Raw genomic sequence first — 14,855 nt, 5'->3', positions numbered from 1 at the left:
TCTAGTTACTCAGTTACCCCAAAGATCAGTGACCTCTGCAGTTAGAGCTTAGCATAAAACTCTGGCATGGCTCGTGATGGCAGGTGAATAGGTATCAGGATACATTCCAAGAATCCTAGAGGCTCAGAACCAGGCAGGCGACTCCTTTAAAATCACTCATTCATTCTTTCTTATCTTCACTGAGCAAACAGAGATCAGACACCTAGAACCTTCCTGAGAGGAGAGGATTGCTTTTCCTTCCTTCCTTCCTTCCTTCCTTCCTTCCTTCCTTCCTTCCTTCCTTCCCTTTCTTTCTTTCTTTCTCTTTTCCTTCCTTCCTTCCTTCCTTCCTTCCTTCCTTCCTTCCTTCCTTCCTTCCTTCCTTTCTTTCTTTCTTTCTTTCTTTCTTTCTTTCTTTCTTTCTTTCTTTTTCTTTCTCTTTCTCTCTCTCTCTTTCTTTCTTTTCTTTTTCTTTTTTTTTTGTGTTTTTTGAGGCAGGGTCTCGCTCTGTTACCCAGGCTGGAGTGAACTGGCACAATCATGGCTCACAGCAGCCTTGACCTCCTGGGCTCAAGTGATCAATTGTCCTGCCTCGGCCTCTCAAGTAGCTGGGACCACAGTTGTGTGCCACCACGCCTGTTTTGTTTTTGTTTTTGTTTTTATGTTTTGTAGAGCTAGGGTCTTGCTATATTGTCCAAGCTGGTCTTGAATTCCTGGCCTCAAACGATCCTCCCAACTTAGCCTCCCAAAGTGTTGGGATTACAGGTGTGAGCCACTATGCCTGGCTTCTAAGAGGTTTGCTTTGAAGAGTAAATGTGATGGCACATGTAAGTTACCTGCAATGCAGGGTAGCAATTTTAATTAGTGTATGACTATAAATAAGGGAGGTAGTACAGGACAATGGCTAAGGAGGTGGGTTCTAGATCAGACTAGCCAGATTTCAAAGATCAGCTGTACCACTTACTGGCTGTGTGACCTTGGGCAAGTTACTTAACCTCTCTGAGCCTGGTTTCCTGATCTGAAAAATGGAATTGTAAGGTACTTGTGAAGATTCAGTAACGTAGTGCCTGCAAAGTGTTTTGAAAGTGCACCCAATACATATCAGCTGTGCTTATTGTCAGTGTGATTTACTAACATTCTTATTTGAGCCTCCTTGCTAAGGACTGGGAGAATAAAACATGGTCGTACCTTTGGAGCATTCACAGTTTAGTGAGGAGATCAGAAAATGCCCTAGATTCGGGCTGTCCCGTAGAGCAGCCACTCACCCCATGTGGCTGGGGAGCACCTGAAATGTGGTTTGTTCAAGTTCACATGTGCTGTAAGTGTAAAACAGAAGTCTTAATTTTTTAAGAAGAGCGTAAGATATATTGATAACATATTGACATGATAATATTTTGGATATATTGGGTTTAATAAATATATTACTAGAATCAATTTCACCTTTTCTTTTTTAAACTTATCTTAATGCGGTTATTAGAAAACTTACAGTGACATATGTACTTTACATTATATTTCTCTTGGACAACTCTGGTCTAGACTTTCCATTTTATAAGTAAGCAAACTGAGATCAGAGAGAAGCACAGGTTTGGCTACAATCATACCCTAAGTCAGTGGCAGAGCCTGGAATGGCCCCTAGCCTTCCAAATCCTGGCTAGGATTCTTTGCACAGCATGGCGCTTACACCCTTCACCCCCCTAAACATTCACACACACACACACACACTCTCTCTCTCTCTCTGGAGATCTGCACCTAAGTCACACGCACCACCCACACAGACCCTGACTGGAGCTGTGTTTCCATCCCTCGTTATATTAGCAATATGTACAGTTAATCAAGCTCATAAGACAATAACAGATTTCAGTTGTATGGACGATGACATAGCAGAGCTGTTAACATCAGCACGGACAGCTCAGGCTTCCCACACCCTCCCCATCAATATACTCCCATCAGTGAGTCCTAGGAAAATGTCACTCTGCATCTCACCTCCTGTCTCCTGGTGGAGGGCTCTGAGTGCCGGCAGTCAGGGAGCCGTCTCCATCCAGGAGTCCCTGGCTCCTGACAGATGCTTCACTCTTCTAGTCACTATTAGCATCGCCCTCTTCTTTTCTATTTTTCTTTTTCCCTTCTCTTGACCAAGTACGGCATTCCTGCCTGCATAGCCCAATAAAAGCCAGTTTCATAGCCCAATAAAAGCCTTCCTTCACTTAGGCTTCCCTTTTTATATTCCTATTCCCACCCCACTCCCCCTCTCCACCTGCTCCTCCACTTCATTCCCATCCCCATCCCCACCTCATCCCCCATCTCCATTCCCATCCCCATGCCCACCTCATCCCTCATCTCCGTTCCCATCCCCATCCTCATCCCTACCCTCATCCTCATCCCCATCCCTTTCCCCAATTCATCCATATCCCCATCCCCATCTCCATCTTCATCTCCTTCCTTATCTTTATCCCCATTTCCACCCTCATCCCCACTCCATCTTCATCTCCATCTCCTTCCCTGTTTTTATCACCATCCCCAACCCCATCTTCATCTCCAAACCCATATCTACCCCCATCCCCAACCCCACTCCCATCTCCATCTCCATCTCTTCCCCCATCTTTATCCCCATCCCCATCTCAATCTCCTCCCCATCTCGATCTCAATCTCCTTCTCTATTCTTATCTTTACCCCATGCCCATCTCCACCTCTATCTCTATCTCCATCCCATCCTCATCCACATCCCCTTCCCCATCCTCATCTCCATTCCTATTTCTATCCCCATCTCCACTCCATCTCCATTCTCATCTCTGTCTCTATCCTCACATTCAGCTCCATTTCCATCCCTCCCCATCCTCAATCTCCATCCCCTATTCTCTCCTCATTTCTGTCTCCATCTCACGACCAACTTCAACTCCATCTCCTCCCCCATCTCTATCCCACCTCCATTCCTATCACCACTTCTATTCCTGTCCCCACACTTAATCTCTATCACATCTCTATCCTCATCTCCAACTCAATTCTCATTTCTATTTCCATCCCATCCCCAACCCCAATACCATCTCCATTCTCATCGCCATTCCCATCACTGTTACAGTCTCTGGCCAAGGTCAAAAGCCAGCAGCTTTTTATGTGTCCTATGCCTGGGATAGATCCCATGCCCCAGGAAGTGTTCAATCAAAGGTGGGAGATCAGCTGTGAACACAGATATCAACTCTACATGACTTCCTGGGCCAGAATAATCCCAAATACAAAGTCAGGTAACAGAATGAGCAGTGTAAGGTGAGGCCACCTGCCTGTGTCCCACTGTATTCACAGGAGATCCAGGTGGCAAAGAATCATCAACGAAGACCCCTGGCTCACCAATCTCCCTCCCACTCTTCTGTTATCACCTGTAGACAATGATGTCCAGTGCTCCCACCATCAGTGCCTCATTTTTGTGGACTTTGAGGCTGTGTTTTCTGAAATGCCTGTGGCAGTGCAATGCTCTCTGGGGTGTGTGTGGTGGGGGTGGGTGAGTAAACACACTCATCACACTCATCAGCACCATTCATCTGAAATGACCCTTCTAAGGTGAAGAGACACCAAGCAGGCATATTTTGCTTGGGGAAGAATAAACAGTAGTCGTAATTGTATTAGTAATAGTAAGAATCTAGGCCAGGTGCAGGGGCTGATGCCCGTAATCCCAGGACTCTGGGAGGCTGAGGAAAGTGGATCACGTGAGGTCGGGAGTTCAAGACCAGCCTGGCCAACATGGAGAAACCGTCTCTCTACTAAAAATACGCAATTAGCTGGGTGTGGTGACACATGCTTATAATCCCAGCTACTCAGAAGGATGAGGCAGGAGAATCGCTTGAACCCGGAAGGCGGAGGTTGCAGTGAGCCGAGACTGTGCCATTGCACTGCAGCCTGGGTAACAAGAGCGAAACTCCGTCTCAAAAAAAAAAAAAAAAAAAAAAAGAGTCTAGACATGGGCAGAGTTTCATAATTTACAAACCACTTACAGACACATTATTCCACTTGTGTAACACCAGACCTGGGCAGTAGGAAAGGCCGACCCTATTCTATAAGTCCACCATGATGATCAACCAAGGATACCACCATAAAACTCCCTTAAATCCACTGATCTCTGCCCCTACCCCCAATCAAACCAGTTGACTTTCTAGTTTTTTTTTTTACTGTGCCTTAAGGGGAGAGAATTGCTGCTAGAAGTTTCCATGAATAATTTTTTCTAGCATCGGGAAAGGTAAAGTGGCTTCCCATCTAACACAGCTGTATGTCACAGCCAACCTCCATCACTCCTGTTCCATGGCCACCAAGGGAGGCAGGAGTTGAAGTTATTTTAGACTCAACAGTTAACATCGACACAGGGAGGTAATGGTTGGATGATCGGTTTTATGAAATTAACTCCGAAATATTGCCTGTCTTTATCTTGAAAGCAGAACGTTATTTTGGTCATTGTAACTCACTTCGGAGACAATGCAGCAGCTCCTCTTTGCTCTGTAAATCATTCCGTGGCCTTTGAAATTTGGGAACACAAACCTGATCTGATATAAATCTCAGAATTGTTGGAGAGGGAAATCTGCCCCAAACCTGTGTCAAACTGTGAGTACTAGAGTTAAATACTCTTCCATGAGGTCCGCTCCCACTTCTCCCAGGGTGCTGGCTCTAATAGAGTCAGACCAAGGTTCTAGCCCAGGCTCTGCTCCCAACATCCCATAGAACTTTGGGCAAATCAGTTGATGCCTGTGGTCATCAGTCTTCCCATCTATCAAATGAGTTCAATAAGACATACCCTGCCAGCCTCTCAGCTTCCAGGGTTTTTGAGATGAGAAGCAAATGGAAAATAAACATAAACCTTCTGTAAGGATAGCAAAGTGCTGAGCAAACAGGAAAGCAAACATAAACCTTCTGTAAGGATAGCAAAGTGCTGAGCAAACAGGAAAGCTTTAATTATATTATCTCTCCAATGGCCCACGCCCCTCTCTTGGCTGAGAACAATGTATAGGGGAATTTCTTTCCCTCCCAGGAGTAACCATTGTCTCGAGGAAGGGAAAATCTCTCCAGCTCATTGGGTACCACTCTACGAAGGTGCTTAGCACACTCTGGCTCCCAGTGTCATTCATCATGGGGTGGTAATCAATTAGGCTTGGGGGAGGGATGGGGGAGGGGAGAGACAAGTTCAAAATTATATTGTTTGCAAAAAAACCCATTCTTTCCTCTCAGCATGCCTGCTCTATTGACTGCCTTCCTTTTCAATCAGCTCTTAGTCATTACACCATATTTCACAAAAGAAGAAAACCACCTTTTTAATATAAAAGTGTCCATGAATATAAATGTCCCTCCATATTCCCTACTTTAATTTCTTTCTTTTTTTTTTCTTTTGGTTCCACACATCTTAGTTTCTTCCCCATCATCTCCACTAGCCTGTCTCTCTGCTCCTTCAAGAACCTGCTCAAAAGAGCACCTCCTCTGGGAAGCCCTCCCTGCTTCAGCAATGCTGAGCTGCCTGTGGTTCCCTCTTCACTTTGCTCATCTCCTCTGTGCCCTGCACACACTGGGCCTTCTGCTAATTAACTCCACCTCATCCTTTAAGGCTGGCCTCAGATGTTGCCTCCTCCAGGCAGCCTTCCCAGGTTTTTCCAGACAGGGTTAGAGCCTGTCCTCTGGGTGCCTGGAGCACCCTGTGCTTTTCATACTCATTGCTACTTGTTATTCTGTTCTGGGTCAACGTCTGTCTCCCCACTAGAGTGCGTGTTCCCTGGAAGTTGGAGCTTTGTCTTTCTTCCACCTAGCCTCAGAGCTAGTGTCGACCAGCCATGCAATAGGAGTTCAATTTCAATGTCTGTTTGTTTCCTTCATTTCTCCCAGCACAGGAAAGCACATAGCCCATCTGTGGAAGAAAATTCCAGAAGACCCTGCAGTGCTGTAGACCTTGCTCCCTTCTCCAACCCTTACACCTTGACCAATACTTACCCTCCCATCACCATGCGCCAAACACACTGAGACATTTTTCTCTTTGAGTCTATGAACACACTCAGCTCTTTCCAGCCACAGGGCCTTTGCATGTGCAGCTTCCCCTGTTTGAAGTCTTTCACTCAGCTTTTTAGCCTGGCTGAGCCTTGTCAGGACTTTCAAGAAGTCTCAGCTCAAATGTCACCCCTCAATCTAAGCTAAGCTCTCTTTTGTTTGGGGCCCCAGCATTTTGTATATTTTCTTCACAGAGCACCTCACAGTGTATAATTATCTCACATATTGGTTCACACACATCTCTTTTCCTCCGATACCCTCACTAGAATGTAAGCAACACGAGGTCAGGGAAGGCTTCTTACCTGCGGCCGCACCCAAGAGCCTGGCACACCAGGATTTGCTCAATACGTATTTTCCAAGTGAATGAGTGAATGGATTGGAGGGAAGGGCCCAGGCATCCTTCCCTCCAATCCCTGCCCAAGTTGGAAGGGCTGAAATCTCCAGCCCCATCCTAAGCCCCTCTCTCCCAGCAGAGACCCGAAGAGACAGATCCCACCAGTGGAAGGGAGTCCCCGGCAAGAAAAAGAGAGAGGGAAAAAAAAGTGCAACTCTTTGGTTTATGGGAAAATTAAATATTGAACTGAGTAGTAACAGCAGCCAAGGGAAAAAAAAAAGCAACAACAAAAAGCCCCCAAATGGAGCCGCCATCAGTGACAGGAGAGATAAACGCTGCGTCTGTGCTTATATGGGCTGCAATGGGCCCTTTTATGTGGCAGCTGCTGAGCTGAATCTAGCCCCACCCCCAAACTTGAAAGCGGCCATGGGAGCTCCTGTGCTTGGTGCAGTGGCGAGGGGTGGGGGGCCCGGGGTCCAGGTCATTGCCGGAATCTGAGATGGGGGCCGTTCTGAGTGGAGCGGGTTCATGAAGGATCCCAGTGGCTGCGGGCGTCATCCACCCACACCGCCTCTGCTCTGCAGGGAGGTGCCTGGAAGCACCCGCTCACCTGCCTTGCCCCTCCCCTGCCAGCTGTTGTGCTTTCGCAGTGGTAGAAGATAAAATTAACAGCCCCAACTGGAGGCTCTGGCTGGCTGCTCTGGGGGTGCTGCAGACAGGGAAGGCAGCCTTCTAGGCAGTGAATCAGTGAAGCCGGGCAGAGCGGACCCAACTGAGGCTATTGCTGGTGGAGAAATAAAATGCCACACACCTGTAAAGAAAGGGGTGGTGGGCGGCCACAGACGTCTTGTGTTGGATCTAGATTTGTATTATAGCACTATTTTCAAGACTAGTCCCTTAACCTGGTGGTTCTCCAAGTGTGTTCCCTGGACCACCAGCATCCGAATCACCCGGGAGCTTATTAGAAACGCAAATCCTTGATCCCCATTCCAGACCTGCCCAACCTGGGATGGGGTGGGGTCCGGCAGTCCCCACCCTGAGTTTTAACAAGTCCTGAGATTCTAATCCAAGTTCAAATATGTGGACCGCTGCTTTAATCTATGTAAGCTTCAGTTGGTGCATCTCTAAATTAGGGTCCTAAGAACCACTAAATTATGTGAACTAAGGGCTTGGTTCATAGTAGGTGATCAGTCAACAGGAGTGAAGATGATTACTGATAGAAAACGAAAGGCTTGGGGGAATTGGAGAACCTTAGCCAGGCTACCCCAGGCCTCAGCAGAGGGGCACAGGAGAGAACCCTCTGGAGCCTCCCTGGCCCTATACGCTGATTGGATCAAAGGACTTCAAATCCCCAAAGCTCCACTCCCCACAACCGGTGCAACTTTCCACTTACGGCTTGATCGGCTACTTGTCAATGTCTCCAGTTTTCTGATTGGCCCCCTAGGCCTCTAGGCCCATGCAGATCCTCTCTGCTCCTGGAGTTTTGCTGGCTGGAAGCAGCCTGCCCCGCAGCCTGTGGGTGGCCGCTGCCTGCAACTGCCTCCGCTCTGTAGTTTATGTAGCAATAGAGAGAATGTGTTTAAGCCCCACGACAGGTGCCGTGTCTGCAGAGATGAAATCTATGGGGTGTAACGTGAATCTGTTTTAAATAGCAGCAAAGCTAGCCAATTTGGGGGATGTTTTCAATATATCTGAGAGGTGAGTATTACACACACGGGCGATTTCACCAGGTACCATACTTGCAGCTTTGTGAGAGAAGCCTCTGGAAGCCCACGGAAGCTTGGGGAGGCAGGTAGGGAGGCACATTCAAGAACTGGCCAGTAGCAGAGCACCAGCTCCTTATAAGCTGTTGCTCGTCCGTCCTCCCCCCAGAGAGCAGTGGGCTGGACTTGGAGGCTCTGGGGAGACCCCTCTTCATCTTCCCCCAGCGTGCAAAACCTCTGTCCCTTCCAGGAAAACCGTGTACAGGCCTTGGCTTTCTGAGGCTTAGAACAGAGCTTAGCCCTGGCCTTGAAGGCCTAGGGCCTGGGAAACCTGGCTCGAGGTCACAGCCCTTCTGCTTAGAAGCGGTGTGTCCTTGAGTCCACTGATGGCTTCCTGCCCACCCCTACCCCCCCACCCATAGAATGAAGATGGCACGGGTGGCTGTCTCATGCGAGGGTGGGGAATGAAGTACTGCCACTTAGCGAGCAGAAAGGCAATTCTAGTTGTTACGGCTTTTTTAGTTTATTATTGTGTCAGGGGAAAAGGTGTCAACCGAGAGTCAGGGGGCTGAAGATTCCGTCTCAGCGTTGCCGTGGACTTTCTCTGCGACATGGCCGTCATTTCCCCCTCCCTGGGTCTCGGTTTCCTCATCCAGACAGTTAGAGGTGCAGAACAAGGTGTCGAAGGGCCCACGTGTCCTCTAAATGTGGCAGTGGTAAGAAGTCCTCACGTGTTTCCACAGGTCAGTGCTCTGAGCCACTCCCAGTCTCTGGACCACTCCCAGCACCACTGGGCCACGCCTGCCGATCTCCCTGCAGAGCCCCTACCCCCCACCGCACTCCTGGCCTGGCTCAGAGCTTTCCTTCAAGCGGGAGATTTCCCGGGGGGCTCTGTGGCCACGTCTTTCCTGTCCTATCAGCGTTTTAGGATTGATTTCCCGAGTCAGAGAGCAAGTAAATCATTCTTGCCGCTTGCTCCTCATAAAGCAATTTCCAGGGGAGATGAGGTGGGTGAGTGGGGAGGAGCTGTAGAGAAGGGCGTTTTGTGGGAGGGGTATTTTTTTTTGTGGGAGGGGGATGCATTTTTTTTCCCCTTGACATTGGACTCTGCAAATTTCCAAACCTACCAAACAGTTCAAGTAATTGTACAATGAACATTCATGCACCCATCACTCAGGTTCTGCAATGAACATTGAACTGCGTTTGCTTGATTGAATATCTCTTGGATTGCATCTTTGTAAAGAGCTTGGTGAGGCAGATCAAGGCCTCATTCCCAAAGGAACACAACTTCTGGCCAGGGTGGCAGGGCTTGATTGAGAGTGAGGGTGTCTCAGAGACCCAGTGCCTGAGGCCTCTTCCCTTGGCCTTGCCCTGACCCAGGTATTGGGACCTCGAATGCACTTTTGTTCCCTAGGAAGTACTCTCTCCACCCTCACTCCTGCTCCCCACCCACAGGCTACTGCAGGGAGAGTCCCCTGGCCCATCTGGCTCTTGAGGCATCCTGGCCATGGGCTCCCCATATCCAATGGATGGATGGCACTGGATTCAGGGTCTCTCCTTCCCTCTCTGCCTGTGGCCAAGCCAAGTGGACAGTGGGTGAGCAGGGACCATGACAGCCTGGAGGAGCGAGGGCCCTTTCCTCACCACCCACTGCTTCCTCAGGACTGGGCACAGCAGTGGACCTTCCATGGGCTCAGGGCCAGGGCTGACGATTGTATCGTGCTTCGGACACCTACCAGCTGGGTAACCTTGGCAAGCCACTTATCCCTGCTGCACCTCATTTTCGTCGTGTGATTTGTTATATTTGTAATTTAGTGGTTTTTTTTTTAAGAGATGGGGTCTCCCTATGTTGTCCAAGCTGGTCTTGAACTTCTGGGCTCAAGAGATCATCCCATATCGGCCTTCCAAAGTGCTAGGATTACAGGAATGAGGCACACTGCGCTTGGCTAGTTTCCTCACCAGTGAAATGGGATCATCACAAGATCTACTTTCTAGGGATCTTGTGAGCACTACGTAAAGTATGTAGACCCACACCTGGCACCTGCCAAGTGATGAATAAATGTCAGCTGTGGTGAGTGCTGCTGTGGTGAGTGCTGTTGTGATGGATGATATGTTACTCCCTGCCCCTTCTCATGCCTTGGGTTCCTGCCATGCAGGGGTGCCCCCTCTTGCCATGCTTTTCTGCCCCTCATTGTTGCCTATATAGCTCCTTCTGCCTGCAGCGCCTCCTGTCCTATCTCTTCACCAGCCTGCTAGGCCCAGCTCCATGCCACCTCCTCCATGAAGCCTTCCTGATGCCCTCCTCTGGAGGAAGGACTCCCTCCTTCCTCATCTCTTAGCTTGCACCCTAGTCCTCCCCCATCATCCTTATTTTTCTTCTGCTGGAATTCTGGAAACCTGTGCCCTTCTCTCTCTCACCCATCATTCATGGACTCCTTGAGGGCCAACACTGGACCTTAAGTCCCAGAGCAGAGAGGCCAAGCTCTGGCTTCAGAGAGAGGGGCTTGGACACTCCATTTGGTCACTCCCTAAGTCACGGGGTCTTGGGTAAGTTGCTTCTTCTGTCTGAGCCTCGGTTTCCTCTTCTGTAAAAATGGGAATAACAAGAATGACCACCTCAGTAGCTGTTATGAGAATTAAACCAAAGAAAGCTCTTAAAGAACTTAGTATAATGCCTGGCACTCAGTGAGCACTCAATCAGTGCTAGCTTTTGTTATGAAAATTATTGTGATTATTGCTCCTAGGGAGTGAGTGAAGTCTTCCTGCCTCAGAGTTGGTTTTCAAACCCAGATTGCTTGGCTTGGGAGCTTCTCTACAGCACATGAGCTTCTCATATGCAGATGGGGAAACTGAGTCCAGGGATTCACTGCAAGTTGGCAGCAAAGTCAGGGCTGCTGAGCTTCATACCAAGCCGACTTGCAGTGTGATCTTGGCCTCAGTCTCCCTTTCTGTACCTGTACCTGAGGCAGTAGGATCACCTCTCTCTCCCTAAGAGTGCCTGTGAGCAGCATTCCTCCAGAGGCAGCTATAGCCTCCTCAGGCTGTGATCCCTGCTCTCCCAGCTCCTGATACAGCTGTTAACACCTGTAACTTCCACTTCCTGCCTGCCCCTTAAATCACTGGGCCCGAGGCACTGCAGTTTCAACAGCCACATATCACTAGTAATTAAAGGGCCTGTTCCAGGGAGGGGAAGTTTACCTTCTGCTGGAGCCACTAAATCCAGCTCCCAGGGGTGGAGAGGATAAAGCATCGTACTGACCTCACACTTGTCAAGGTTTAATGATGCACCTGCAGGCCTGCTCTGGCGGGGCCTGGGAGGCTGAAGCTGATCTGACTCTGGAACAAGAGGGGAGCCCTGGTATGTGAGACACAGAAGGTCCAGGGAGTTGGTGAGGGCCCCAGGGGGCTTCAGACACCTGCCTAGATAATTCCAGAAGCAGATGAATCCCTTCAGTTGGCTCAGGAGGGCTCAATGGGCCATCTCTTGAGAGGCTGTAGAGAAGCTCCCAAGCTAGGCAATCAGGGTTTGAAAACAAACGCTGCCACTTACTCACTGTGTGACCTTGGGCAAGTTACTTAACCTCTCTGGGTCTCAATTTCTTCATTTATTAAAATAAGAATACTAGAAATACCCATCTCCTAAGGATTGTGAGGATTAAATGAATTTATATATTTAAGTGCCTGGAGCAACATTTGGTACCTTATAACTGAAAAATTCATTGCTATTAGACTGTATCCTGGCTGTCCTATATCAAAATGAATTTCTAATTTGTATAGCTACCTTGAGGGAGATGGGACTCTCTCAGTGCTCCCCCCACAGCAGGTGCACAGTAGGTGCTCACAAATATTGCTTGAATCAAAGGATTTGTAAGCATGAGAAACGAAAGAGCAAGTGGTCTGTTTCCACTCTAGGCTCCGAGTTCCCTTGGAGAGAGGCTGATGACAGTCTGCTAGCTCTATTCCCCAGGGACAAGATGCACCAAAAACTGTGTGCTGCTTGACTGGGTTGTCTGCTTCATCCAGTCACAATAATGGGTCAGAGGTTTCAAAGGCCTCGCTTCCCTCCCGAGCTCAGGGCCTCAGATCCCCACGGAAGGAGAGTGGCAATCAGAATATTTAGATTCAAACTCTAGCCTTCCTTTTATTAGCAGACTCAGTTTTCTTCTCTGTAAAATGGGGATACAGATCCCCACCCCACTGAATTCCAGGACTGTTGGGAGGCCCTTGATCCAGAGGTCCATATGGCTACCACATTGTCCCACACTCAGAGAGGTGGATGTCCCTCTGTTTTCCTGACAGCTTCATGGAGTGGGAACGTCAAGGGCTCTGGTCCCAGAAGACCTGAGCTCCAATCTCAGCGCCACTCACTGCTGTGGGACAGTGGGCATGTCTCCTGACCTCTGTGGGCACTCACACTGAGGCACCACAGGCTCTGCCCTGCAGGCTGTAGGGGGATTAGAGGGACAGCTGGTGGAATGAGCTGGGCCTGTTCCTGGGTGAGGGTGGGCTATGGTCAAGGGCACTTCTTTGCAGAACTGTGTTCAGAGAGGGAGGGAGGGAGGGTTCTAGAAGCCTGTCCAGGAGGCAGTCAGCAGGCTTGGACCTTTGGGGCTGATGCTGGGAAGTGACCGTTCTTGCTAGATGACCCAGTTAGCTTCAAAATGCTCCTCCGAGCCCCAAACCCATCTGTCTGGCCCCTCTCTCAACTGGCGCTCAGCCGGTGACCTCAGCTGGCTGGGAGGTCCGTGGCAGGCAGGCGAGCAGCATGGGTGTCCTTCCTCCAGCTCCCTGACCAGGTCCAGGCACTCAAGACGACAGTGTCCCGTCTCTGAACATGCTCACATCCAGCTCAGGGGCCCCTGACCACTCCCGCCTCAGTCCTGTGGGCTGCAGCCCCCACTCCAGCCAGCTTTGGTAGCTCAGCACAGCCAGCTGTCTCAGGCCCCCCACTTCTCATTCTGCTGCCCTTCTCAGAAGCTCCGGCTGGCAGGGAGGAGGCCTGTAGAGGTCCATAGGCCCTGGCCTCTCCACCCCAACGGCCCATTTTCTGCGATCGCTGGCTGCTGAGTGAGATCACGTGGTTGCATTGGAACCTTCTCAGAGGACCATCTCCATCCAGTGCCAGGTCCGCCGTGTCTCCACATCTGTTCCCATCTTTCCAATTGGTCCCCATGTCCTGTGGCTTCTGCTTGGAAAGGCCTCTTATGTCCGGCCACTGCATTTATTGTCCTAAGTTGGCTCCTATCGTCTCTGTTCTTCTAACTTCCTGCCCTGTCCTAACAATGATGCCAGCATCTGGGCCAAGCATTTCCTCTACGCCCAAACGTGCCATCTTATTCATTCCTTGAGACAGCCCATAGGGTAAAAAGCATGATTACCTTCAGTTTCCAGAAGAGGAAACTGAGGCTTGGAAAGGAAAAGCCACAGCAAGACAGTGGAGGGCGTGTGATTGGACTCCGGGCTGCTGGCTGCATCCTCTTTCCTGACCACCTTTGCCAGCACCCAGGGTGGGAGGCCACAGATGTCACTGCCTGGCTTTGAGAGCTCCCACAGGGCCATTGTCACTTCTCATAGTTCTGACCCTACCCTCAACTCCACTGACATTTACAGGGTGAGGGTTGAAGCCAAATACGTAGGAAGTAAGAACAGCTTTCCTCCTCCAGAGCACTCACTGTGAGCTATGGACACAGCCCTTCACTTGTCTGTTACATTTCATGCCCCAACAGGTGCTACTGTAACCCCCATTCAGCAAAAAGGGACACTGAGGTCTAGGGAAATGAAATAAACTTTCAAAAGCCACATTCCAGTGAGAGGTGGGGGAGCATAGTGGCTGGGTCCCTGCGCTTGGCAGGCAGCCTGCCTGGGTTTGAATTCTAGTTCTGTGTCCTTGGGCACATTTTATAACCCCTCAGTTTTCACATTTGTAAAATGGATAAAGTAATCACAGAATCGACCTTAGAAGGCTGTTATAAATGATATAGCAGGTGTTAAGCAGAACAGTCCCTGGTATATAGTAAATGCTCAATAAACATTAACCATAGCCGGGTGCGGTGGCTCACACCTGTAATCCTAGCAACTTGGGAGGCCGAAGTAGTTGGATCATCTGAGGTCAGGAGTTCAAGACCAGCCTGGCCAACATGGAGAAACATGTCTCTACTAAAAATACAAAAATTAGCTGGACGTGGTAGTGCGCGCCTATAATCCTGGCTACTCAGGAGGCTGAGGCACAAGGATGACTTGAACTCAGGAGGCGGAGGTTGCATTGAGCTAAGACTGCACCACTGCACCCCAGCCTAGGCGACAGAGTGAGACTCTGTCTCAAATAAATAAATAAAAAAACAAGCAAACATTAAACACTTTTATTACTATTAGTTGCAGAAGCTGGTAGAAAAGTCATGTCTGAATCCAAAGCCCATACCCTTAGCCACTCCTCAACTCTCTAAGGAATTAAACTCCATTTATGGTCAAGCTAATTTACTAGAGAGATCATTCTCCAGTGGGGGATTATCTAGCCTCCACCTTTTCTAGTTTGGAGGGGCTGGGCATCTGCATGTCACTCACCCAGACTGGTAAGAAGGAGTGCAGGCAGAGGGAGAGGGCTTGGGAATGGGCTTGTCCAGGCTTTTGCTTGGGGAATAAGAGTAGCCCCAGCCTGGTCCTCAGACCCTGGGGGTTTCTGGGGTAAGAGGTGGAAGCTCGTGTTCATACCTCCTCCCCTTCAGTGCTCTGGGAATTCTCTGCAGCTCTGGCCTGGATCCCAGCCAGCCCATGCCTCCCTCTGCAGCCTCCTCGCTTCCCCTGTGGAGCAGCAGCCTGGCTCCCTGGAGTCT

The 14,855-nt window shown here is 49.5% G+C and overlaps 1 protein-coding gene across 4 annotated transcripts in view, besides 2 other annotated features; it reads right to left on the bottom strand.

The window, feature by feature from the left end:
* The window catches only part of IGSF21 (immunoglobin superfamily member 21), a 270,686-nt gene that overhangs the window by 18,736 nt on the left and 237,095 nt on the right, over positions 1–14,855 (bottom strand). The gene's annotated exons all lie outside the window — the stretch shown is intronic.
* Positions 12,406–12,905: an enhancer, noted in NCBI's record as "H3K4me1 hESC enhancer chr1:18673337-18673836 (GRCh37/hg19 assembly coordinates)". NCBI's record gives its function as "activates a minimal SCP1, AML or CMV promoter by ChIP-STARR-seq in naive H9 embryonic stem cells {active_cell/tissue: H9 hESC(naive)}" and the evidence as "EXISTENCE:reporter gene assay evidence [ECO:0000049][PMID:30033119]".
* Positions 12,906–13,407: an enhancer, noted in NCBI's record as "H3K4me1 hESC enhancer chr1:18672835-18673336 (GRCh37/hg19 assembly coordinates)". NCBI's record gives its function as "activates a minimal SCP1, AML or CMV promoter by ChIP-STARR-seq in naive H9 embryonic stem cells {active_cell/tissue: H9 hESC(naive)}" and the evidence as "EXISTENCE:reporter gene assay evidence [ECO:0000049][PMID:30033119]".

Source organism: Homo sapiens, chromosome 1 (assembly GCF_000001405.40).
Source record: "Homo sapiens chromosome 1, GRCh38.p14 Primary Assembly".
Classification (NCBI taxonomy): Eukaryota; Metazoa; Chordata; class Mammalia; order Primates; family Hominidae; genus Homo; species Homo sapiens.
The sequence above is the reverse complement of the archived record's forward strand: the minus strand, read 5'-3'. Positions and strand labels throughout refer to the sequence as shown.